The 27,092-nt window shown below is 46.5% G+C and overlaps 1 protein-coding gene and 1 long non-coding RNA gene across 3 annotated transcripts in view, besides 1 other annotated feature; one reads left to right on the top strand and one right to left on the bottom strand.

The window, feature by feature from the left end:
- Positions 1–2,484, top strand: part of FRMPD3-AS1 (FRMPD3 antisense RNA 1) — a 32,839-nt gene extending 30,355 nt beyond the window's left edge. The window contains exon 2 of the long non-coding RNA NR_046750.1: positions 2,135–2,484. This is a non-coding gene — a long non-coding RNA (FRMPD3 antisense RNA 1). The remainder of the gene's footprint in view (positions 1–2,134) is intronic.
- FRMPD3 (FERM and PDZ domain containing 3) overlaps positions 1–27,092 on the bottom strand; it is a 155,600-nt gene that overhangs the window by 89,785 nt on the left and 38,723 nt on the right. The gene's annotated exons all lie outside the window — the stretch shown is intronic.
- Positions 8,785–9,285: an enhancer, noted in NCBI's record as "H3K4me1 hESC enhancer chrX:106749412-106749912 (GRCh37/hg19 assembly coordinates)". NCBI's record gives its function as "activates a minimal SCP1, AML or CMV promoter by ChIP-STARR-seq in primed H9 embryonic stem cells {active_cell/tissue: H9 hESC(primed)}" and the evidence as "EXISTENCE:reporter gene assay evidence [ECO:0000049][PMID:30033119]".

Below are 27,092 nucleotides of genomic sequence, written 5' to 3'. Positions count from 1 at the left end.
TGCTCTTGTTAAGGTCCGCATTGGCCTCCATGGTCATCTCTCGGTCCTTACCTACTCAACTTCTCAATAGCTGTAGACAGTTAGCCACTTCATCCTTGCCGAAACATTCTCCTCTCCTGGCTTCTAGGACTACCTCCAGACTGTCCTCCAACCTCTCTGGCCACTTTTTCTTAGTCTCCTTCGTGGGTTTCTCCTTCCCGACTTAATCACTAGATATTGGGGTTCCTTGGAACTCAGTTCCAGGCCTTCTAGTCTCTCTCTATTCTTTTTCCTAAGGTGATCTCATCCAGTCCCCTGGTTTTAAATACAATCTATATTCAGACAACTCCCAAATTTGCATTCTAACCACACCTCCTCTGTGAGCTCCAAAACTCATATACTCTGACATGTTTAATTTTATGCCTCACAGGAATCTCAAACTTATCATGTCCAAAACTGAACTCTTGATTTATTTTCCCTCTCAAGCCTAGGCTTCCCTCAGCCTTCCTCATCTCAGCATATGGCACCATCATCTCTTTAATTACTTAAGCCAGAAACCTGAGAGTCATTCTTGAGGCCTGTCTCTCCCTTTCCCTTACCTCCCCACCTAGTCCCTCAGTATTGTATAAGTATTGTCAGCTGTCACCTAAAAACCCATCCAAGACCGGGCACAGTGGCTCACACCTGTAATCCCAGCACTTTGGGAGGCTGAGGTGGGCAGATCACCTGAGGTCAGAAGTTCGAGACCAGACTGGCCAACATGGTGAAACCCTGTCTCTACTAAAAATACAAAAATTAGCTGAGCGTGGTGGCACGCACCTGTAATCCCAGCTACTCGGGAGGCTGAGGCAGGAGAATCACTTGAACTCAGGAGGCAGAGGTTGCAGTGAGCCGAGATCGCACCACTGCACTCCAGCCTGGGTGACAGAGCAAGATTCTGTCAAAAAAAAAAAAAAAAGGAAAAGGAAAAGGAAAAAAGAAAGCTCATCCGGGATCCGACAAGCTCGCTCCCTCTCCATGGCTGTCACCCAGTTCAAGCCACCATCATCTCTCCTGTGAGTTGCTGCAGCAGCCTCCTTACTGGTCTCCCTGTATCCACTGCTGTCCCTTTCCAAGTCTGGTCTCTACAGATATTGCAAAAAGTCCATATCAGATCCTGTCACTCCCCCGCTTAAAACCCTTCAGACATTTCCTACTGCAAGCGAATAATATCCAAACTCCTTTTGTGTGGCCCATAAGGCCCTGCGTGATCTCTTTCTGCCCTACCTGCCAACTCCCCCACCCCTCCATGCTACTCTTCCTCTTGCCTACAATCTGGCCCTCCTGGCCTCCTTTTAGTTTCTCAACACACCAAGGTCTTTGCCACCTTAAGGCATTTCCACTTGGTCTTCCTTTTTCCTGGAAACCTCTTTTCCCATTCTTCATATGGCTGAATTTATCCTTTAGGTCTCCACTTAAATATCACCTCCTCACAGAGAACTTCCCTGGAAACTTCACCTTGGTTATTCTCTACTATTGCAACCTGTTCATTTCATTCTGCAGACTCATCACGATTTGTAGTTATATATTCATTTGTGTGATTATTTGGCTTTAAACCCCATAAAAGTAGGAACTCTGTCTTTTTTGTACAACAGTATATCTCCTCCACTTGATATGATACCTGGCACACAATTAAGTGCTTAGTATTTTTTAAATCAACCAATGAATGAATAGAAGTGAATTTGAGGCATACAGATTAGAATCCTCTGGCCTTTACATGCAGTTTATTATCAAATGCCTACGGTTTGTGTCTCAGCCTGTGAAAGGCAGGTTTCTGAATGGGAAGTCTGGCCCATGGGAGAAACCCCTCAACATCTCTGTGCAAAGACAAAGTCAGAGAGAGAATGCAGTCAAAGAAAGAGTACAGGGAGGGCTACAAGCTAAGAAGGAATGGGAGACGGCATGGTTCCAGCCTTTTTAGGGGAGTGACAGTGGGAAATCCAACAGCTATTCCTTCTCAGGGAAGGAATTTTTTAAGGGTAGACAACTATCCTTTCAGAATGGCAAGGGGCAGGAGGATGGGCAGGGTGACTTTGAATAGTCCTTCCCACTCTGAGAGTCTCTGGGTAGATGATTTGGTTACTTTCCTAGGGCTTTCTCTCTATTTCCCTTGCAGGTCTTCATGGCCCTGCAACTTCCTCTTCAGCTGAGCTTGGAGAGGCATCGTCTGGAAAACATGGTGGTATCTGGATTCTTTTTCTGGTTGTCCAAACAGTTGCTTTTCCCCAGTGGGCTGGAATGGAGACACCTGTCACCCATTCTAGCAGGTCAGGAGGGAGCAGGGGGAGAGACCAAGGTCATCTTTCCTTTCACAAATACCTGGAAACCTGGAGTCACCTTGCAAAAGACCAACCCCATAATGCTTCAAAGAGGGAACTGCAGAGGACCCTCTATACAGCTGTCCCCTCCCCTGTCCCCTCCTCCCTCCTGAAGCTATAGTCAATAAATTCAGACATGTTGTCTAATAGGTCCAGACATGCTCCTAAACCCTGCCTGTTGGGGCTGCCAGCCAGGTGACAGATGTGAGGGCTGTGCCAGATGTGAGGCTGCTGCCATATGGCACTGTGTGTCACAAGGTCTGAAGCTGCTGCCACTGAGCTGTGGAAGAATTAGTGGGGAGATCCTTGCGTTTTAGCCTCCACTCACCTGTCACTGGCAGAGGCAGCAAGGGGGAACTGGAGCAATGAAATATTCATAGGAGCTTGAAGGAGTTGTCATGTCACACCAAGGAGCCCTGGGCACCCCAGCCCCCACCCTCCATGTACCACACCAACTAATTCTGAAAGAGGCAGAGATATATAGGGATTGACTGAGCCAGAACGGGAGAGATGAGGAATGAAGGGAAAGACACAGTCAAGAGGGGAAGACAGCTGAGCAGGAAAGGGGACCAGGCAGAGCAAAGGAGGAGAGGAAAAGAGAGGCCATGAAAACAAGACAAAGAGGAGAAATGAGACAAGAGGAGGGCCTTGCAGACGGTGAAGAGGAAAGTTTAGGCTTGGGGAAGGCAAGCACTGCAGAAGCTATGCAGCCACTTCTGATTGTCGTGGCTTTTTGGAGGTGCTCCCCAGTTCTTCACCTGCTCTTTTAAAAATGCTCTTGAGCTGCCCCCCACCAGCTCTGCCCTCAGGGCTCCCACCACTGCTAAAGGGCCACATGGTAATGACAGTCTTCTGGTAGAGGACCTTGGGTGATGAAGCTCTAGGGGAGGGGACTGCTATTTTGCCATACTGAGAGCCTAACTGCACCCTCCCCATCTCACAGATGGGGATGCAGCAGGCAAGGGGCAAATCAGAAACGGCATGAGGAAGAGACCCAGGACACCTTCCTGACTTAGGCCAATTTCCCACTCACCGGAGGCTGTAGTGTGAGTGTGAGTGTGTGTGTGTGTGCGCGTGTGTGTGTGTGTGAAAGAGGAGATCAAAAAAAAAAGAAAGTAGGAAGTGGAGAGAATTCCAGAAGGTGGAGGGAATGGTCATGATGGGAAAAGTGGAGTTGGCAGGGAAAAGATCAGCAGGCCTGAATTCTTCCCCTCAGTGAACACATCTCTCCGAGGCCAAGCTGGGCTGCAGAGCCCTGGCACAGAATGCTAAGCCAGAAGAGGGTCCCCGGCCACCCAGATCTCTCTCTCCTCTTAGATCTCAGACTTCAGCCTGTCAAAGGCCGAACTGTAAACAAACCTTGGAGGGCAGACAGGGGGAGCAGGTGTGGGCAGGAGCTTCTGGGAACTTCCCAACAAGTAGCTGCCTCCAGCAGCCAAAGACCCAGGGCTCAAATAGCACCCCTCTGGGGGCTGTTTGGCAGGTGCCTGCTGCACAGGGCTCTGGGCAAAGCCTCCTGAAGCCAAATGTGGGCCTACTCAGCTGGCTGGCTGTGCCATCTGCTTCCTTCCTGTGAGGCTACTAAGGCATCGATGGCCTGGGCCACCAGCCTTCCATGCCCCCAACCCCTGATGCTCATCAAACTCCTGGAGAATCTCAGAGTTGGCAGGGAGCTTGGAGGTTACTGACTTCCCCCTTGCCCACCCTCTGCTGATTTCCAGAAGCAGCAGGGGGAAGCTTTCTAGAAGATGACTGCAGCTGGGTATGGCAGGAAGGGCCAGATTTGAGCAAGTGGAGACGGAGGGCACTGAGAACAGGCCCAGAGACAGAAGGGAACAGGCATATGTGGCACGAGGCATGAACACAATAGCCTGAGTAGATGAGGGGGTTGCTGGGGAAAGATGAGTTGGGAAGCAAGAAGCATAGCTGACCCGGCATAGACAATGAGTAGGCCTTTCTCTCACTCCCTCTCTCATGTCTGGCTCCGTTGGGACTCTAGGTTCTATCCTCCATCCTCAACTCCCATGCCCCTTTGGGGAACTTGTGAAGAGAGGGGCAGGCCAGTCTAGCCTGAGCTGGACAGAGAAAGGCACATCTATCTCAACGCTTTGCCTAGATGTCTACCTGCTCCTCCCTCTTGCCTGAGATGATGCAGGTTGTATCTGAAGCCAAGGACTTACGCCCAGCAGTTGCCAAGCTGACTTCCTGTGAGGGAGCAACCCCTGACTCCTTCCAGTGCACCATCTCTGAATTGTCCAATCAGGAGCACAGTCCAGGGACAGGGCAAAAATTAGGCCAAAAAGCCAGTGATCAAAGGAAGGTACATGAACAGAGGCCTGGTAAACTCATGTCACCTTGTCTGGAGGCAGCCAGAAACACCAACAGCAGCCTCAGGACAATGAGACACCTTTTATTCTGCCTAATTGCATCTTCCTGCTGAGAGGGAGGGAAGAATTATAAGGTCTTTCTTAAACAGTGGTCAGAAAAGGGGAATGAAGTTGGTGAACCCTCCACCTAAGAATAAAAACCAAGGGCAAGAGCACGTGCTATGCTGAACCATTAGCACAGAGGGCATGAGTTAGCACCAAAACACTCTGTACCTCCCCCACGTTGGTAGCTGGGAAAACCCTGTCTGTTTCCTGAAGGTGAGTGACAGAGAAATTACAAACCTCAGAGCACCTGTGGGCTCGTCTTTGGATGCATCAGGGACAGGCAGGGAGTGGGTGGGGAAGAAGATTGCATCCTACTATACAACCAGGCTTGGGAGAAACAGAATCCTAAGGAATCCTGAGAACCCACAAGCTCTCTATCTGGCAACACTGATTTGATGATGGACCCCAGACTTGACTCACTAAGGTAGAAAAGCAGACCCAGGCATTTTAGGAAGAATCAAAAAGAGTAGGAAAAACGATTTTTTTTTTGGCCCAACCTTCAGTTACTCAGAAACAATCTATTAATCAGAAAATCCATTCCCTAAGTATTCAGGTTTGGGGATTACAATTTTTGTTTTGTTTTTTGTTTTATTTTTTTCTTTCAATAATTAAAATCCACAGAGCTGGGGCTCTCTGTTATGGAAGAATGCAAGCTCTGCTCTGATGTCTCCCTTCTTATAAGGGTAATAATAGCAGAGTCCCTTACTGTGAATCAGGGCTTCCTCCACCAGCTTTTAGATAGCATTCATTCATTCATTCATTAATATATGTAATAAAAGTTTACTGAGCACCTACTATGTGCCCAGCATAGTGCTGAGATATGGAGATAAATTAAGGCCCAGTCTGTTCCCTTAGGGAGATTGCAGTCTAAGGTGGAGGCAGGTATGTAAACAGACTAATATAAAACCATGTGTTACCTGGTACCACAGAGGGCAGCAGAGGATGCTATGTAAGCACAGAAGAGACTATGCCCCAACTGTGCTGTGACTCCCAGCAGAAGACCACCACTCCCTCCTCTCACCAAAGGTGAGAAGGACATTCCAGGAAAGGAATGTCAAACCTGACAGCAAATGAAAAGTTAAGAAGATTCAGTAAAGAGGGAAACCTCTAGGTGTTTAAGTCACTACAATCATAAAAAGAAATCATAGAAAAAATTCAGGCAAAACTGAAGGGAATGTTTAATTCAAGGAGTAATGCTACCCACTGACTCCTTTCATGTCACCTTATGAAATGGTACAGTGCACTCTGAAGAGGCCACAGAGACAACCGGGGCACAGCCCAGCACTGGACTTGCCAGCCACATATCTAACGCACCACCCCAAAGCTACACATGGAAGGTCTCCCTCTCATGAGAGGAGGCAGGAAGGGTGGACCACCAGCAGATGCATTGAGATCCAGCCAGAGTAATAGAGACCAAAGCTATAAAGCTCACATACCCCATTATGCCCACATTGAAGAGGGTCTTTGCGGAGCCAGCTCTATGAATGGGCCAGGGCCAACAGTGAGGAGCTATAAATAACCCAGCTGCAGGGCCAGATGTGACACAGGAACATCAGCAAGGGACCTGGCCACATTCAGGTTTCAGGTTTCAGCTCACAGAGGCCAAGCTGGGGGGAGCGGGGCGAATATCAATGAGCACAGCAATACTATTACTTATATCCAAGAAACAAGTCCCCCCTCCCTCCCCAGGAGGTAGGAAGATGGCTTTGCCCAGTATTGCAAGTAAGGCTCTAAAAACTTTTCAGAAAATAATTCCTAATAAAGGTACTCAGATAGAGCCATAATATCGTATTAACAACTCCAAGCCAGCAGACCAGACACTTGTCTAATTAATAAAAATTATAAAGCAGAACAACTTATTGATGTTACAGGCATGGCACTTAGTACAACAACAAAACCCAAATCCATGCAGAACACTCCATCTTCTCTAGGAAGCCCTCTCTCCGCCAACCTGTACAATCACTTCCTTAGTGCAAAGAGGGGCTGGGGAATGGAGAGCATAGTGTAGAGCTCTGGGCAACTGGCTTGGGGGAGGAGGGGACTGTAGGGAAGACAAATCTCTGTCTCATGCACAGATCTTCTAAAGGGTAGTTCCAACTTGAGCTCTGGAGTTAGTGATCTGGGCTGGAATCCCAAATCTGTGGCAAATTGGTTAACCTCTTGAGCCTCAGTTCCTTCATCTACAAAATGGGGTTCATGGGGTGCCTACTTCAAAGCACCTATGTGAAGATTAAATATACATGAAGTGCTGGTGCAAAGTAAGTGCTCAATCAGTAACTGCTATTAGCAATTACTGTTATCATTATTACTAGGCACCTACTAATACATTCTGCTGTCTTGTTATAGCGCACTCGGTTTGCCTTTCTCTACAGGAGAAATAATGGGGATGATTTGAAAATTGATTCAAAACTCTTTGCACCTGGGCCATGACTTTAGATCTACAGAATAAATACACTTTGCTGTAGGGACAGCAAACTCGATTTTACTATTTCATTAAAGCCAAATTCTCATCATATTTCTAGTAGTTAACAGTGAGAGGGCTGAAGTAAAACTGTTTTGAGATCCCAGGTCTGCATCTCACTGGCTGTGGGACCTTGGGCTTGTGGACCTCTCTGTGCTTCAATTTCCTCATCCGTAAAATGGGGATAGTATCTACCCTATAAGGATGTTGTGAAGATTAAACAAGGCAATGCATATTAAGCACTTAGAACTGTGCCTGGCACACAGAAAGCACTGAGTGAATGCCAGCTACTGCTCTTACTGTACATGGACTAGGTAAAGAGCTTAGCACAATGTCGGGCACATAGTTATAATAGTAGCTACTAGGATCATCAGTACTCTAAGTAAAATGAGTGACTGGGGATGGAGGAACAGAAGGAAGATCTGGGTGTTCTCTGAGAAGGGACTGAGTTAGGATAAACTCGCCTTTAGGATCTCAGGCCCCTCTCCCCTGAGTTTTACAGAGCTTAAGAAAGGAAAGTGATAGGTATGCTCCTGCATATTCCCGATTGCTAACATTTCTGTGATTGGTGCACCACCTCGAAGGGTGGTCTTGCTTCTCCACCCCGCGGAGCTTCGCGAACGCTGAGGCTCCAACCCGCCCTACCGGAGGGCAGGCCAGCTAGGGTATCCCGGCCCCATGGAAGCAGAGGCGCTGAGGGGCAGGGGTGGGAGAGGCAGCTAGAAGTCCCGGACACTTCCGAAGCGTAACGGCGGGGAGAGTGGGGTCCTAGCACTCAGAGGGGCCGCCTCCGCCCCTGCTCCACTCGGGTGGTTTCCCTCCCAGCTTCTGATTCCCCTCGCCCCTTATCTCCCCGATCCCCCGCACCCCGCAGCGGAAAACTTCCCGCTCGCGCCGCCACTTTTCCAACAGCGTCCAAAACTTCATCCCCGCGTATCTTGCCTTCCAATTTCCTCTTTCGTGGCCTCGAAAGGACCGGAGGGCTGCCAGGCAACCCAAACGAATCCTTGGGATCTCGGGGTGAGGGACGGAGATGGATGTCTGCTTCCGACGCGCCAACTCACTCCAAAGACCAGGTGGAGGGGGGCCCATGCCAGCGCCGCCCTCAAGTCACTTTGAGGGGCCGGTAAGGACCCTAGCGCTCGACTGCCGACCCCCTAACCCCACAGACCCCTGCCTCAATGGTCAGGTGCCCCCCAACCCGGCTGCTCAGAGCGCAGTACTTACCGTCGGGCCCCCCTCCGGGCCGGGGCTGGGCTGCTGCCCGGCCCGGGAACCCTCTCGTTGCCTCCCTCTCGCGCTGCCCCTGGCTGTGCCCAGCGCTGAAGGTAGCAAGGTAGCAGCAGCGGTGTCTGTAGGAAGACACCTTAGAAACCTGCCTTAGAAACCCAGCCCCTGCTGTGACCAGAATCTTAAAGAAGGAGGCGACTGGCTCAGCCCTAGAGCCGCGGCTGAGGTGGCGAACTAGCGAGAGAGCTGTAAACACGGCGTCTGCTGCCTCTCACCCACCCGCAATCCGGCCGCCGCCCGGGACAGTCGGCGCCCCCAGGAGGACCCCTCCCCTCGCCACCGGGGACCAGCCCACTCGGGGGACCTGGGAAGGGATAGGCTGGGAGGACATAGATATGCAGACAATCCAGCTGCCACTTGCTTACTTACTAAGTGCCAGGCACTGTGCTTTACATCCATTATTTTCTCATTCCAGCATCCTCTCCATTGTACGGAAAATAAAATTGAGGCTCAGAGGAGCAAAGCAAAGAGCCCCCAGTACAAGCACTAATAATATGTGGTGGGACTGATTTAAACCCCAAAGGATCTCAAATTCCGGGCTACCTGTCTCAAAAGCTACCTTGTGCTATTGCAAAGCAGCATTTGAATACCTGTGTCCCTACCTCCACTTTCCCCATTTTTTTCTGACTGGATTGGGAACAAACGGCAACTCTAAGTCAGTTTGCCTGTGGAGATGGGGCCCTGGCAGGCAGGATCCTGACTGCAGTGCCTAGAGCCAGGGAGTGGCCATCCCTCTTTACCTCAGACAATTCATTAATCCCATATTTATTATGGACCTACTATGTGCCAGACGCTATGGGAGACAGAAAAAAGAAAAGGAAGAAGTCTCAGTCCAGGTGGCATTCCAGGAGACAGTCACTGAGTCTTCGAGGTCTGGGTTATGCTAGAAGTGTCTAGGGGGTGACGGTGCAGCAGTCCTAAAGGAGCAGGCAACCAGTGTTCTCAGACACCCCTTCCATGGCAGAACTTCTGGAGCCACTGTTAGGGGACATGGGGAGAGACAGGGCTTGCAGAGACAACGTGGAGAGAATCCTCGTCCCATGGGGCTGATTCTGACTCCTTCCTGCTACTGGAGTAAGGACTCACACCACCCATTCCTTTTTAAAGGATGAGTGGAAGGCAGCTTTGTTGGGACATTAAGCTCCATGGCCTCTGTATGGGAGCTACCCCAATCTTCATGCCTTGGCAATGGCATTTGTGAAATGAGAAAGATATCTTATGCCTTCCTTCTGGTCAAAATGATGAAATAACACAACATTTCCTGCCCCTTCTTAGTTTGATAATTTTAAAAAGAGCACTTTTAGAACTCGTATTTCTTTCAGCTTTGCCCCAGCTTATTCATGCAGTCATTCATTTAGCAAATATTTATTTAGGTATTTATTTATTTTGAGACAAGGTCTGTCTCTATTGTCCAGGCTAGAGTGTAGTGGCACGATCTCAGCTCACTGCAACCTCTGCCTCCTGGTCATTTAGCAAATATTTACTAGCATCTACTTTACGCTAGGCACTGTGCTAGAAGCAGGGCACCTTTGTGGTTCCATGGAGGGGAGTCTGCATGGAGGTGGAAAAATTACAGGGCTGGAAGTTAGGAAACACATTTGAATCACTAGTTCTTTGACTACATAACTGTGTGACCCTGGATGAGTCATGTATCCTTTGGGGACTTCAGTTTTCTTGTTGGTCAAACAGGGATAATAACACCTTCTTATCCTACTTCATGGGAGTATTTGTGTGGTTCGATGGAGATAATAGATGTGAAGGAGCTTTGAAAAGTATAAAGCCACTAGACAAATGTCAGGGATTAGTCTGTCTCCAAGGTGGGAGGGGGCTGCTGGAAAGTAAAGCTTAAAAGAAATCCTGGCTGACTGTCCCAAATTGATTGCACTAAATTCCATCTTCCTTGAATCACTCAGCCTGCACCTGGGTGGGAGTCTCTGCTCTGTGAAATACCGTTCTCCCTCAGCAGTGCCCATGACACACGAGTTAGTGATGACTTGGCCTTAAACCTCGGAGATTGTTTTGGGGACGTGAATGGAACCAGCAGGGCAGACTTGGCTCTGGTTTTCTGATTATTGGCAATGGCAATCTCCTCTTCCCACTTGAGCCCACCCAACTCAAGGACTGCAGGTGTCTGGGTAGAAACCACTTGAGGCCTCCAAAGACACCCATTTCAGAAAGCACAGGGCTCATGTCAGACAGCAGAGGTTGGCCATGGGGCTGGATGCTTTATTTTGTTGGAAGCTGGGGGTTCTGTATTCTGCCCAGATGGCTGAGATATACAACAGAACTAGTGGAGACTTTGGGAAGGTCTTTAGCTTGCTCTTCTCACCCCCTATAAGCCACCCCAAGTATACGTACAATCTAAATTACAGTACTATGCTTGCTATGCAAACATAGCTTCAAGACAATTTCCCAAATTTCCAGAAGCACTCTTTTCTACTCTCTCCTACCCCAAGTAAATTCACACTGTAAGGAAATATAGGGTCTTGCCAGACAAAACCAGTTTCCAGACAAATCCACTAGCCTCCTCCCTTCCCCTCTCCTTCCCACTAGTTTGTAATCCTGAAGCCCCTTGGATATAAAAACGCTAGAACTGATGGCAGAGCAGAAAAGGAACCTGGGAACCACAGGCAAGCCTGGAGTTGCACTGCACAGCTCTGGAGCAGAACCAGAATGGAAGTCAGAGGGAGCAACAGAAAGCACCCGGCCTTGAGCCAAGGCACCTGCAGTCAGCAAGTCCCTGGGGGAAGTGTGGAACAGACAGACTCCACACCCAGCCTCCCTTGGCAGTCTCAGAGCCTGTTCCTCTTGCGGCTGAGGCTCCTCTCAATGTCTTCATAGATTCCCTTGTCACATCCATCTCATCCAGGCTGTTCCTCTTAATAAAGTGCCACTGCGGCCACTCCAGACAGGCTGATGTTATCCTTCACTCTCCTGCCCTTCTTCCCAGCATGGGCCACACAGCAGTGATTCAGGCCTCCCAGGTCACTGTGCGGTCTCCTGGGGAAATGCTTTCTGAGTGCTCAAGCTAGGGTTTGATGGAAGTTTTGGATGTGGGCGTATCAAATACTCCTTCCTTGCCCATCAGGGTGGCCTGAACCCTGGATTCACTTTTGCCCTAAGTTCCCATGCCTACCCCAGCTTGCAACTTCTTCACTGGACCAGCTGCCACTGCTCTCCCCAACTGTATAACCTGTGTCTAATTTGCGAAGCCTTTCTCCCAGTGGTTGTCAGGGGATCTGTGCCCCCATGAAAGACCAGAAAGCTTCAAGATCCAAATGAATGAATCACTGATGGTGAAATTTCAGGCACAATGACAGGCAACTGAGGAGACATTTGATCACATCATGTTTATCTATGTGTAAGGCTGGCCCTGAGGATATTCTGGTATTTTCCCTCAAATATAACGAAGACTTGGGATAGATAATAGCAAAGAAGGCGATAGAAAATACACCAGGCTGGGAACAGGGACATCTTGCTGCTCATCCCAGCTCTTACACTAATTAGAGGTATGACCCCACACCTTCCCTTCCTAGGCCTCAGTTTCCCCCATATATCAAGAGATCACTGACTTAGCTAATTTCCAGGGTTCCTTGTTGTTTTAATAAGCTCACATTCTAAGCTGTGTGGCATGGAAAGGGAGTGATGTTCCTCCAAGAGTGGGCCCTGATTCCAGGACTCTGGCCATGGCACTGTGTAGGCATGGGGGTTAAACAGAGAGGCAGGGCTGGCACTATGGACATGGGCTTGGTGCTGCTATTCAACAGTGCAGCCAGTGTCTGACCCACCCTTTGCTATGAGAGCAAAGGGAGAATTCGTTCATTGCCTCCACTCTTTCTTGTACCCCTCAGCCTCCCAGTGGTAGCTATGTGCCTGTGAAACCCCCCCATTCCCCCCATGACTAATTATATCTGCCCTAGGATGAGGGCTGACATTCCCTCCATGAGCACCTATACCACCATCCCACTTGTTCAAATCTTACATTCCTTACTTAGTGATGGGTAAACAACTGCTGCTTCAAACCCCTCTGAGTGTCCCTAATTGTCCTGGCACACCCCCAACACTGCTTCAGATCCGGCAGCTTAGGGGTTAATGCCTGGCCCCATAGGGGCCTTCCAGAACACTGCTTCGTCAGTGCACCTGCCATATAGGCAATACAAGATTTTAAATATCACTCTAGTCCAGGATTCCATTCTAGTTCAATGCCCCTCTCCATTCCCAGGCCATTTCTCTATGAAGATTTGTCAAGGGCTTTTTTTTGGTGGGGATCCTTTCGTTGTTGTTGTCATTGTTTTGGTTTTTTTTAAGGGCTTTTTTGAATTGGTGCCCGACTTCCTGCCTCTGAGTCAGATGGACCCTGGTTGTTTCACAGAATGAAGGCAAAGTAGGCAGCAGGGGTGGAGGATCGGGAGGGGACTGGCTCCGTAGTTAGTGCAGCTGCCCTGGTGACCCTCAGCCCTGTGTCCTGGATCCAGTTGCCAGGGGATGAGGCCAAATATGTTGAAGTTGCAGGGATATTCCTTCTTGCTATTACCCCTGCAACAACTGGTTTCCTCATCCAAGGGCTGTCAGGTGTTCCTGACTGACCCCCAGGCCCACCTGGGGTACTTGCTGCTATTCTTTTTCCCTCCTTCATAGCTAACCTCTTCCTTTCTGCTCGTAGCCGGAGCAAGCCTCCCTAGCACTGAAAATCCCCCTCACTTGGCCCCTCTCTTTCCTCCCTCTGCAATTCCACATCCTTCTCCCTGCCAAGGCCTAGCTGCTCCAATGGGTGCTTTGCCCCTGTGGTGCGAATGTTCTGTTCTCGCTGGGCCCGGTATTAATTTGCTCTCATTTGTGAGCTGCTTTGTTAACGTGCATGGCCTTTTCTCAATGTGTAGTGCTGCTCCCTGCTGCCTCTGTTGCCTCCCCACCCACACCCTCCTTAACCTTGTAATAATGTGCCCTCCCCTGTGGAGAGGGGGGCTGGGCTTTTGAAAACACTTCTTATATGTTATGTAGTAAGTTCACCACATCCTCAAAATCACCAGAGGATATGAGGCAGGAGTGATTCCTGATCCCTGTGGAATGAGTGAGGAAACTGAGGCTTGGAGAGGTGAGAAGGCTTTTTTGCATGGATAGCTACTGTGTGATGTCCAAGCTGGCCTAGAAGCACAGCTCATTCCCATGGCACCCCACACGCTTATGTCATTCATCTTCTGCACTGCCCCTTTGAGGCCCCAACTGAGTCCCCAGAAAAGTGTACATACGCACACAGACACATATATATTTTGCTTACTATTGTGTAAGCAGTCATAAAACCTCTGAGGGTCAGGCCCCTATGTCAGTATTTTTTACAAGCTGTCCAGGTGATTCTAAGGTGCAGCCAGGGGTGAGCACCACTGCCTGAAAAGAAGATATAAAAATAGGAGACAGGCCGGGCGCGGTGGCGGGCGCCTGTAGTCCCAGCTACTCGGGAGGCTGAGGCAGGAGAATGGCGTGAACCCGGGAAGCGGAGCTTGCAGTGAGCCGAGATTGCGCCACTGCAGTCCGCAGTCCGGCCTGGGCGACAGAGCGAGACTCCGTCTCAAAAAAAAAAAAAAAAAAAAAAAAAATAGGAGACAAGAGAATTGGCTTTAGTGGCCAAGAGCTTTCTTTAAAAACCTTTGGCCTCCCCAATAGGAACTGAAGGTAGAGTGGATGTGAACTATGGCCCTAGCTTCCATGCCTCAGTTTCTTCCATTCTGCAGGCCTTTGCAATCCTTCCCCCATGCTGTGGACTAGCTTAATAAATTAGACATCACTGAGGTTGCTGTGGGAAGGGGTATAAAGAAAGAAACACATCTCTCTCCCCATATGCACATGCTTGCCAATTGCTGTGTAAGTGTATCTTTAATATTTTCTGCCTGCAAGGGTGGAGCTAAATTGCCCTGATTAAGGAAGCCATGGGGTCTAACTAGAGGTGAAGGATAGATATTTGCTGTCAATCAACTAGAAAGAGGTGCTCCTCAGGTAAGAGATAAACTTTTAGGAATAATAATCATCCTAATAGCTATCATGTATTAATCACTTACTATGTGACAGGCATTTCAGTTATAGTACCTCATTTAATCCTCATAATTAGTCTCTGAAGTAGGCATTGCTTTTTTTTTTTTTTTTTTTTGACAGAGTCTTACTCTGTCGCCCAGGCTGGAGTGCAATGGCACAGTCTTGGCTCACTGCAACCTTCGCCTCCCAGATTCACGCGATTCTTTCAAGCAATTCTCCTGCCTCAGCCTCCTGAGTAGCTGAGATTACAGGTGCCCGCCACCACACCCAGCTAATTTTTGTATTTTTTAGTAGAGACGGGGTTTCACCATGTTGGCCAGCCTGGTCTTGAACTCCTGACCTCAGGTGAGTCGCCCGCCTTGGCCTCCCAAAGTGCTGGGATTACAGGCATGAGCCACGGCGCCCAGCCTGAAGTAGGCATTACTATTATATCTATTTTACATATTAGGAAACTTAGGATCAAGAGGTTAAGTTACTTGCCCAAAGGCCTCCCGGCTAGGAAGGAAGGGTGTTTTGTTTGACCTACACAGTGTTTTCAAAGCACTTTAATTCATTGTTAACACTTTAAAATCCTCAGATTTTATATAAGAATCTGGATGTTTGTCTTCTCTTGAAAAATCCTACCTGGCAACCCTGGACCTGAAGGGCCCACCCAACAATAATTAGCTGACGCTAAGTAGCAGTACCCCTTATGGATGAGGGATGGGATCTCCAGGTCACCCCAGTCCTCGCCACTCTTTCCATACCCTCATCATGGGGCCAAGTGTCAGCTGGCATTTAATATTGTATTTGTACTGTTGTGTTGCCGTTTTTATTAAAAGAATAATAAAGAGGAAAATGGGACATTTCTACGGCATACATTTGATCTTCCCCTAGTGAGTACATAATCCCTCCCCTCCATTCCCTTCCACCGCCTCTTTAACATGGTGAGAGGAAAAGCTGGGCACCCCACTCTTGGCCTGCTCCTCCCAGAGTATTGGTGTTTTGGAGGGCAGTTATAGGTGGCTGAGGTTATAGACAGTCTCTGGCTTGTGGAGGCAGGCCCAGAGTTGGGAGGGAGGAATAGGTTCCCAGAGGACCTCAGCAGTAGAAGATAACTGAACTACACTTTCTAAGACCAATTGTCTAGTCTGGCTTCCTGGTCCTCATCTGTAAAACAGGCATAGTAACAATAACAGCACTATGTCTACTTTATGGTTATTATGAGGGTTAAATGAGTATATGTACACATACATGTATATTTAGAATCATGCCTGGCTCAGAGGAAGTGCTTAACAAATGTTAGCTATTTTTATTATTATTAAATGCCATGTTGATTTCCCTTTTGTCATCCCTTAGCCTTTAACATATGGTTTTGTCTGAAAGTTTCAGCCGGATCTAAATGATACTGTGGATTATTAATGGACTCCCATGATGAGTCACTATTATGGGGAAACAGGAATATTATGGATGCTTTTTCCCACTGAAACAGACTCCTTCTAGAGCCAATCATGGAGGTTCTGGGTGACATTTTATTAAGAGGATGGCATTTCGTACTCTAGAGAGAAGGTAGTCTTGCCTTTCTCATGGGGACCATACCAGGCTTTCATACTTCCATACTTTCACACTTGCTGTTTCTTTACCCAGAATGCCCTCTGCTACCTTGTTTACCTGGCAATCTCCTACTTATCCTTCCGGACTTAGCTCAAGAGTCACCTTATCTGCGAAACCCTATCTGAACCTCATCTGCCTCCTTAGGCAGAGTTAATTTTAAAGGCTACCTTCCACTAGAATGTGAGTTTGTTGAGGACAGGGTGGGACATATGTCTTTTTTCTTTTTTTTTTTAGTGGGACATATGTCTTGTTCACTGTATCCCTGGCACAGGAATAGGTACTCGATAAGTGCTCTTTGAATGAACCGGAGGGGAGAGGGATGTGTGGGGAAGAGAAAGGTTCAAGATGACACCCTAGCAGCCACATTTTGGTTGGGGTCTCTCTGGCTCCCAGCAAACCTCCTAATTCTGCTTCTGTCTGGCACCCCAAGTTCTTCAAACTAACGTCATAGATTCTCTGCACTCCTCCTGCACCTGTTCTAAGTCTCTCCTGTAGAATAGGTGGACGTGACCATTTGCAGAGCCTTTTCCCACTTTCAGCATGCCCCTTCTCCTTTGGACAGCCTCTCATTGTGATGGATCCATGCGCTCCTCATTCCCCAGGCTTTGCAGGGTGTCCCCAAAGCACTGAGAATTTCTTGGGGATCCTCCTGAGCATCAAAATGATGTTTTATGTCCCCATTCCCTTGAGCTCTACTCTCTCACTAGGTCTTCCTTCCCAAAATATCTGGATCTCCAATGCCTCTATCTGAAGGGGATTTCCAGCATTGGGATGCTAGTTGGGGAGCTATTTCTGGGTGAGTGAGGTTCCAGTGCTCCTTCAGTCACATCCCACAGTCTGCCCCCTAAATTAGGAGAGGATTTTCTTCAAGTCGTTGTAAGTACCAGTCTTGTGTGGAAGACTAGGCTAAAACAGATGGGTGAGATTTGTATCAGCAATCCTGCCACCTCTGTTAACAACAACACAGGGTAGCCATGGAAGCCCCTCAGCCCTGCTTAGCAGTCTTTCTCCTTCCACTGCTACCTAATGTGGTCCTGGTCACCATCTCCTATGTCATGGCACCTTCCCTGTCATGTTTCCTTCAGGCGATCTGAATTCCTTTGCCAGGAGCAGCCTGCCTGCGTGCAAAAACAACTTGAGAGCCATTAACAGGAAAGTGCATCTTTTTGAAAAGCCGGATGATTCTAAGGCATTAGTGGACACCTTTGCAATCCTGTTTCAGAAAGAGCTAATGTCTCTTAAACTGGCTGGCACTGAGCCGAGAAGTGTTCTGATAGCAGCCTCCAACTATGAGAATGTGACCAAGGACCCAGGGTATGCTAGGGGAGCCAGGTAAGATCGGGGAGCAGTGAGAAAACCCAGGACATGAGTTCCCATAGAGTGACAATCCCAATGCCACATGCACGTGCATGCACACACACACACATCCAGAAACACAGGCAGGGCCACACGTTGGCACGAAAACACCACCCACGCTCTTGCTACAAGACCCACATGTGATTTGCCAACAAATTGCAAATTAATCTCCTAGTGAACAGATTAATGGTATTCATGGTAATTTACACTCCAAGTTTCATAGCAACAGACTGAGCATTCTGGTTGTAAGAATTCAAGGATTTTTAAGTTCTTGGAGACACTGTAGTAATTAACCTAATAAGCCTATGCAAACTAGCCCCAGTTTGACACTGTCATTTTTGAATCCAATATCCAGGATATTTGCCCAGAAGGTTGCCCATCGCCACTCCAGATCATTGGCTTGAGGTGCTAAGCTGACAGATGCCAGTCTGCATTCGTCTATGCAAATGAGGCCCCTGAGCAGAACTCCCCATCAGGCCTGGAAAGGTACTGGACAGTTACAAATGGTCTGCTGCAGGGCAATGAGAATGGAGTCAAGGCTTCCAGGAGAAATGGGGAGGGGGCCCCAGCCAATTTGCACAGGTCTGACAGCTATTTCTTTAAGGTCCATGGATTGAGCATGAAAACTCCTTACTTGGACAAGAATTTGGGTTTTCCACCTGAAGGTCAGGAAGAAGCAGCCTCTTTGTGGCATACTGCCAAGTGCCACTAGAATTTTTTATCTTTTCCAGAAAGATCAGCTTCCTAAAATAAAACCAAAAGCTGGGGTTCCCAGTTTCTTCCCTGGGAAGGTGAAGTTTAATTGGCTCTGTTGCCCATTTTGAGCAAAAATCACAGAACGTACTCAACTCCCTCATCAAATCAATCAGCCTATGGGCACAGCTTGTGTGCTCTCTCTGCGGGTGGACTGGTTCCTGTCTAATAATGTGTAGCCTCAGGGGGTGGCCACTCCTCCTCCCACTCCCACACTGAGCTCCATCCTTGACCTCATTCTTGTTTGATCTCTTAAACCACCAGGGCTCGCTGAACTCCCTGGTAAATCCACCCTGTGTTTCCTGCTCTGCAGGGCACAGCAATGAAGTGCCAGAGAGGAGATCATTCTTGCCCACTGGCAACCCACTGCTGTTGCCCAGCTCAGCTCTCCCCAGGACCTCAGGTGGCTGTGGCTTTTTCAGCTGCAGCCCCATAGAACAGCTTTGTTGAGTCTTCACTGAGGGTAGGGGAGAGCTGCGGAGCTCTCTGTGCATGGAAATACTGCAGAGAAACTGTTCAAGTCACCCAGACCCAAAGCCCCCACTAACAGGTTACCACCTAGAACTCAGAGCGCTTTCTGGAATGCACAGTCAGACACAGTGGTGATCACAGTGGCTTTACCATGCTTAAAAAGCTAACACTCAGAGGTGATAAAACACTTGAAACTTTAGAGCCATTAGGTAATAACTATCTTTATCTGTCTTCCTGACTAACCTTTAGCTAAATCAGGATTTCAAAAGTGTTAGAAGGCCTCCCATGCAGCTGCTGGCTTCTTCTCTGAATGTGTACATGGAGCCGTCATTCCAAGTTGCTGCCTATGGCCACTCTCAACTCTTGTCTACCTTCCCATTCTCACCATGCCCAGGCCCCTATGTACCCAGGCTCCAACCCACCTTCTTTGACTCCCAGCAACACTTAATGTCTGTGGCACCATCTCCCAGAAGTATAAGCCAAGGACCCCAGGGACTGCAGAGTACACAGTACTGCAAGAGGGATGCAAATCCATACACCTGGAAGCATTGTCTGTGGTCTCAAATAATAACCCACAATAATGATGACGATGATGAGAACAGCTTCCATTTGGGGAGCATTTACAGGTCAGTCACTTTACATGAGCTCTACATGAAGTATCTCACTGAATCTTCACAACTCTGTCAGCTTGATACTATCATTAGCCCCCTTTTGCAGACAAGGACACTGAGGCAAAGGTTTAAGAAACTTGCTAAAGATCACACAAGGAAGAGGCAACACTGGAAATCAAACTCCTAGCTGACAGATGCCAGAGACCGGGCATTTAAGTGCTATCCTGAAACATCTCACACATGTATGTATCACTATTTACCAAACTTTAGGCAGATGTCATAATGTTTAAAAAATACATTTCTATTTTAAAATATCACTGCATTCATATTAGTTTGTGGTCATTATGTGTTTACTAAGAGTAAAGTTGCTGTGAAGAGTAATCCAGATTATGGGTCCGTGGCTTTGGCTGGATTGAGAACCAGGAACATTTTGTGCATACAGTATGCCCACCCTATGTCTTCTTACCCATGAAGTCACACATTCATTCCTCTTATCTGCTCATCTTCTATGTTATCTCAAAGGCCCCATGTGTCTCTGTATATACGGCAGGAGTAGGAAGCCATGTCTACAGCTATCTGCATATTCAGTCACTTGTCATGCAAATATTTACTGAGATCTTATGATGTGCCAAACAGTTCTATACATTAGGGATACTCAGTGAACAAAATAGATTTTAAAAAACATTCCTGTCCTAATGGAGCTTGCATTCTAGTGAGAAGACACAGACAGTAAAAAAATAAATGGGCAAAATTATGAGACAGTTCAGAGAATAAGTGGTTTGGAAAAAATACAGCAAGGAAAGAGGGTACAGGTTTGGAGATGATTGGCTGCAATATTTAAAAAGGTGGTCAGGAAAGGCCCCACTGAGAAAGTGATGACTGAGCAAAGAGCTGAAGAAGAGAGGGAGCCAGCCATGTTGATCTCTGGGGCAAGAGCCTGTCAGGCACAAGGAGTAGCACGTGCAAAGGTCCAGAGATGGAATGTGCCTGGGGAGACCAAGGACTGTGAAGAAGTCCAGTGTTGCTGAAAGAGTTTGTCTGTGACAATGTATGTGAATGGTTGTGTGTGTAGCGATTCAGCAGTAGGCTGTGTCATTAGATTTCCAAGTGGGCTATGAGGCCCACCTTAACGACACTTGCTTGCTGGACTAGTCTTAGGTGAAATTATGAGGCAAATGTGCATGCCTGTTGATCCTCAACCCCCTAGTCCTTCCTTTTTGTCTCTCTAGGAGCCAATTTGCCTCCTCAGAATTCAGGGCCTCTGCAGTGCTCTCTGCCATCACAGCCAGTCCCCAGCCTAAGGAATAAAGAGTACAATTGGGAGTTCCACAGATCTGGGCTTGCTTCCAGTTTCCACTACTTATTAGCTCTGTGACTTTCTTTGGGTAGGCACATCATCTACTTTTCTGAGCCTCAATTTCCTTGTCTGTAAAATGGAAATAATAAAGTATTGTGAGGATTGAGGTAATGTATGTAAAGTGCTAAGCCCAGTACCCAGCACTTAATAACTGCTCAAGAAATTATAGCTATTACTCATCTACACCCAAGCATGAGTTATAGAGAACAATCTGTGCACCTTCAGTCCCCCGAAAAGCCTGTGGATTTTGTATAAGGAAAATTCTTGAACACGCCAATTGTGGATTGTCAGTAGACAGAAAAAAAATCAAGTAGAATCATTATTGTGGGAAGTGTCCTAAATGTTTAACATTACAAATGGATTTTGATACTTAGAAAGGTTAGAAACCATTGGCATCAATGGTTGCCTTTTCTAGGTGGGTTTGCATTTAGCTTCAAGCTGATTGGGCCTCTGAGTGGTATCATTTCCAGCATCACTGAACAGGTAGGAAATTCAAGTGAAGGCTTGGCTCACCATATCCAGCTCAAGGAAAGTATTTACATAGTCTCTTCCCCCTATACTTTGTTGCTTCTGCTCCGATGGGAATGTAGGAGAGGTAAGAATCACTGTTCCAAATGCATAAATGCATAGCAGGCAACCTCTGGGACTGGTAGACCTTCCAGCCCTAGGGGCCTAATGGTGTAGTCTTCCTCACTTTCACATATCTCTAGGTACCCTCCTGCTGGCTCATCTTCCTCTTCTGCCTGCACTCTGAACGGATGATCCTGGCCAACCACAGAGAGTGGCCACTGAGAAGGTGTGTGGTGACAATCTCCAAGAAACCTTTCTGAGAGCTTTCTTGAGCTTGTGCATGGCAGAGCTTGGTCACAAGAGCACCTTACTGTACAGAATGGATGCATCCTGGACAAGTTTCTTGCAAATCAAATTTTCACATATCAAAGACTATTTTCCATTTAACTTTTAACATATAATTGGAGATGTGTTTCTCCAAGGGCAAAAAAATGGGGCCCTGAGACTTAATAAAAATCATATTTATGAATGCAATGCAGCAACACACTTGAAAATCACAAATGTGAATGGAAAAAATGAAAATTTTCTTATAAAATATTAACAATGCCCCCAAATGAGTCGCAAGATCTGAATAAAAAATAGCTAACGTTATTTTGATGTTTGGCACAATAGCTTAAAGGCCTAAAAGAAAAACAATTACAGCTTAACCGAACAGAACACACTGGACTGAAAAGTTGCCCAGTTTCTATAAAACTGCCTTTCTAATGTTCTACAGCAGGAGATCTTGCAATATTCTTTGGCTGCTCAAATCCTGAGCTTTAGCACTCTGGAGAAGCTGCTGGGTTTAAGAAACAAACAGGTTAATCCAGACCAGAGAACAGACCAGGAAGCACAGACATGACACTGCTTTAAAATGCCCCAGGAAATGAGTTAATTGGGAGCAAGAGGGTATGGGAAGACTTTCTGGTAATACAAGATTCAGAAGACTTGAAACTTCTGTAAAATGAGTCTCTGGGTAACATATAATGAATCAGTTCCCCAATTTCTAAATGTTGCTTCGGCTAGTGTCTTTTTTTTTTTTTTTTTTTTTTTGACAGGGTCTCGCTTTGTCACCCAGGTTGGAGTGCATTGATACAATCACAGCTCTCTATAGCCTTAACCTTCCTGGCTCAAGCAATCCTCCCGCCTCAGCCTTCCCAGCAGCTGGGACTACAAGCATGCACCACCAGACCAGGCTAATTTTTTGTTATTATTGTAGAGATGGGAGTCTCATTATGTTTCCCAGGCTGGTCTCAAACTCCTGGGCTCAAGCCATCCTCCTGCCTTGGTCTCCCAAAGTGCTGGGATTACAGGAGTAAGCCACCATGCCCTGCTGCTAGTGTCTTTCTATAGTCTCCAAACAATGAAAACTCCCATGAAAGGGTTTCTAGCTGTGGTATTTCCCCAAAGTGTGTTCCAGGGAACACTAGTCTTCATAAGAGGGATCCATGGGCAAAAACGTTTGAGAAATGTGATGTACTCTAAATCAGTGCTTCTCGAAATTTAATGTGTATACAAATCACCTGAGGATGTTGTTACCATGCCAATTTTGACTTGGAACCTCTGAGGTAGAGGCCTGAGATTCTGCATTTTTAGCAAGGTCCCAGGTGATGCCTATGTTGCCATCCTCAGACCACACTTTGGCAAGGCTCGAAATGTCTTCTTGGATATTCATGATCCTCATTAGACTATTAAGGGCTCTGCAGTAAAGTTTAGCTTATCTAACCCAGCATTCATCAAACTCATTGGTACCCAGAAACCCTTTTTTCCCCATGGTACCTATTAATCTCTCACACTCAGGGTACCATGAAAGCCAATTTGGGAAATGCTAATCAAGCTAATACTACTCTACCTGGAGTGACTTTGCATCATCTGAGAAATGTACATTTTGGGTCATGGCCATAGACCTCATCTACAGCTAGTTAATAGCTCTGCAGAGACATAGGGATGCGAGGGCTGTGAATTGCCATTGGTTTTCAAAGACTCCAAGCTCAATGACAGCAAAATATCATAAAACTCTACTTACTATCCTGCCACATTCACTACTTTCCAAAGTGCTTTACAACCTTAATGTGGCTTGAACTGAAATGAAAGCAGGGAAAAAAGGAAGAGATTTGGAGCAGAGAGGAGCCTGGCATTTTCAAAGGAGGTATGAAACAAGACAATGAGCAAATGATACTGAAATTAGACAGGAGGTAAGGGACTCAGGTTAGCTGGGGTGAGGAGAAAGAAGGAGGCATCAGCAAGGGATGTCAGTGGGCAGGGTGTCTCGGGGGTGTAATGAGGAGAGAACAATTACTCTGTAAAGTCCTACTCTATCAAATGAGGAGGAAAAAAACCACGAAGGGAAGAGTCATCTTGTTTACCTGGTCTCCACCTATACAGGTTTCAGCTACTGTATTTGTTTTGCTGTACAAATTGTTTGGCCAGGAGGCCCTCTCTGGGCAGATTCCTTATTCTCATTGCATTGGCTGCCAGATGGAAAGGGTCTGGGTTGTCAGTTCTTCAGGAGGGCATTTGCTCATGCCCATGGTGGCCCGCCACTCCAGCCCCTATCCAGTTAGCAGATGGGTCCGAGAGAGCTCTCCGATTATCAGAAGCCAGTGGCAGACAGTGCTCCCAAAAGTGTAAAAAGGGAAAGACAGAAACCTCTTTGTAGGCAGAGCCCCTAATACGAGAGGTAGTACAACACAGAAGGTTCTGGTGTCAGACAGAGGTCATATCCCAGCTCTGCTACTCACTAGCTGTGAGGTCATGGGGTAATTAACCATTTGAAACCTCAGTCTTCTCTTCTCTAAAATAGGGCTAAGAATAGTATCTATCTCATAGCAACATGGTGAGGAATGATTAATGTAATCCCTGGAAGAGGTTTAGGACCATACCTGACATATAATAAGAACTCAGTAATTACTAATGGCTATTAATACTATTTATTATTATTAAAAGCATTTTAGTACAGTGCTTAGCACAAAGAAAGTGCTTCACAAATGACAGCTGATATGATGACATTATGACAACAAGCACGACAACAGTGATGATGTTGCTGTTATTGATGATAAGGGAGCTTGCTTTCCCTCAGCTCTGCTTTGGAGGTTGGCATCAGGAGATGATGTAATTTGAAAGGTTCTGGGGTCAGATAGTCGTGGGTTTCAATCCTGACTCTACTACCCAATAGTAGGTGGTCAGTTTTCGCAGTTGTAAAATGCAGATGATAACACCATCTACCTCACCGCTGTGAGGATGAAATGAGATGATGTATGTGAGGTAGCAAAGCCCAGTGCTTGGTGCACTGTAAACACCAAAAGCTATCAACCAGCTAGCTAGTCATCCAGCATCTGAGAACTTGAGAGAGCTCCAGGAAGGAAAGTTTCAGGAGTAAAAGTGCCCTCACAGTCCAATTTGAAAATCATGGACAGGCCCATGAAAGGCTTATGTACATACCACACACCTTTCCACACGTTACCATTTCACACACACAGGGAAATAACGTATTCAGGCCCACAAAAAGAAACCCACCTGTTTTCAGAAGAGACTTTCCAGTGTACAGAAGTTCTTGATTCAGCACAAGCATTCTTATACACCAATAACAGACAAACAGAGAGCCAAATCATGAGTGAACTCCCATTCACAATTGCTTCAAAGAGAATAAAATACCTAGGAATCCAACTTACAAGGGATGTGAAGGACCTCTTCAAGGAGAACTACAAACCACTGCTCAATGAAATAAAAGAGGATACAAACAAATGGAAGAACATTCCATGCTCATGGGTAGGAAGAATCAATATCGTGAAAATGGCCATACTGCCCAAGGCAATTTATAGATTCAATGCATCCCCATCAAGCTACCAATGACTTTCTTCACAGAATTGGAAAAAACTACTTTAAAGTTCATATGGAACCAAAAAAGAGCCTGCACTGCCAAGTCAATCCTAAGCCAAAAGAACAAAGCTGGAGGCATCACACTACCCAACTTCAAACTATACTACAAGGCTACAGTAACCAAAACAGCATGGTAGTGCTACCAAAACAGAGATATAGATCAATGGAACAGAACAGAGCCCTCAGAAATAATGCCGCATATCTACAACCATCTGATCTTTGACAAACCTGACAAAAACAAGAAATGGGGAAAGGATTCCCTATTTAATAAACAGTGCTGGGAAAACTGGCTGGCCATATGTAGAAAGCTGAAACTGGATCCCTTCCTTACACCTTATACAAAAATTAATTCAAGATGGATTAAAGACTTACATGTTAGACCTAAAACCATAAAAACCCTAGAAGAAAACCTAGGCAATACCATTCAGGATATAGGCATGGGCAAGGACTTCATGTCTAAAACACCAAAAGCAATGGCAACAAAAGCCAAAATTGACAAATGGGATCTAATTAAACTAAAGAGCTTCTGCACAGCAAAAGAAACTACCATCAGAGTGAACAGGCAACCCACAAAATGGGAGAAAATTTATGCAACCTACTCGTCTGACAAAGGGCTAATATCCAGAATCTACAATGAACTCAAAGAAATTTACAAGAAAAAAACAAATAACCCCATCAAAAAGTGGGCAAAGGATATGAACAGACACTTCTCAAAAGAAGACATTTATGCAGCCAAAAAACACATGAAAAAAATGCTCAACATCACTGGCCATCAGAGAAATGCAAATCAAAACCACAATGAGATACCATCTCACACCAGTTAGAATGGCGATCATTAAAAAGTCAGGAAACAACAGGTGCTGGAGGGGATGTGGAGAAATAGGAACACTTTTACACTGTTGGTGGGACTGTAAACTCTTTCAACCATTGTGGAAGTCAGTGTGGCGATTCCTCAGGGATCTAGAACTAGAAATACCATTTGACCCAGCCATCCCATTACTGGGTATATACCAAGAGGATTATAAAACATGCTGCTATAAAGACACATGCACACGTATGTTTATTGCGGCACTATTCACAATAGCAAAGACTTGGAACCAACCCAAATGTCCAACAACGATAGACTGGATTAAGAAAATGTGGCACATATACACCATGGAATACTATGCAGCCATAAAAAATGAAGAGTTCACGTCCTTTGTAGGGACATGGATGAAACTGGAAACCATCATTGTCAGCAAACTATCGCAAGGACAAAAAACCAAACACCACATGTTCTCACTCATAGGTGGGAATTGAACAACGAGAACACATGGACACAGGAAGGGGAACATCACACTCCGGGGACTGTTGTGGGGTGGGGGGAGGGGGGAGGGATAGCATTAGGAGATATACCTAATGCTAAATGACGAGTTAATGGGTGCAGCACACCAACATGGCACATGTATACATATGTAACAAACCTGCGCGTTGTGCACATGTACCCTAAAACTTAAAGTATAATAATAATAAAATAAAATTAAAAAAAAGAAGTTCTTGATTCAGGACTTAAAGTGTTTTTTTGTTTGTTTGTTTGTTTGTTTTTTTGCCCCTCAGAGAATGCTTTTTAGTTCAAGAAGAGGAGTTTAAAAAGCACATTAATAAAACCCACTGGACTGAAAGTGCCGGGTTGCAATCAAATCCAAAACACCTAGCCCAGTGGCTGGCATATGATGATGCACAGTACATATCCACTGAAGAAAACGTCACATTTTCATCTCAAAATACTTTTGTGGTAACGGTGTCTCTATATTGTTTTAGGCCATGAATCAAGGATGTTTTTCTCTGCACTTGGGAAAGTCCTGTCAGTCTGCAAATGGGCCAAATTTGAATATTAGCCATAAGGGCTAAACACCCACAAGTACACAAAGACTCCCTCAAGTGGATACACAGACAGTCACTTTCCAAATGCTTTGCCAACTTTGGGCCTCCCCTGCA

Source organism: Homo sapiens, chromosome X (genome assembly GCF_000001405.40).
Source record: "Homo sapiens chromosome X, GRCh38.p14 Primary Assembly".
Taxonomy (NCBI): domain Eukaryota; kingdom Metazoa; phylum Chordata; class Mammalia; order Primates; family Hominidae; genus Homo; species Homo sapiens.
The sequence above is the reverse complement of the archived record's forward strand: the minus strand, read 5'-3'. Positions and strand labels throughout refer to the sequence as shown.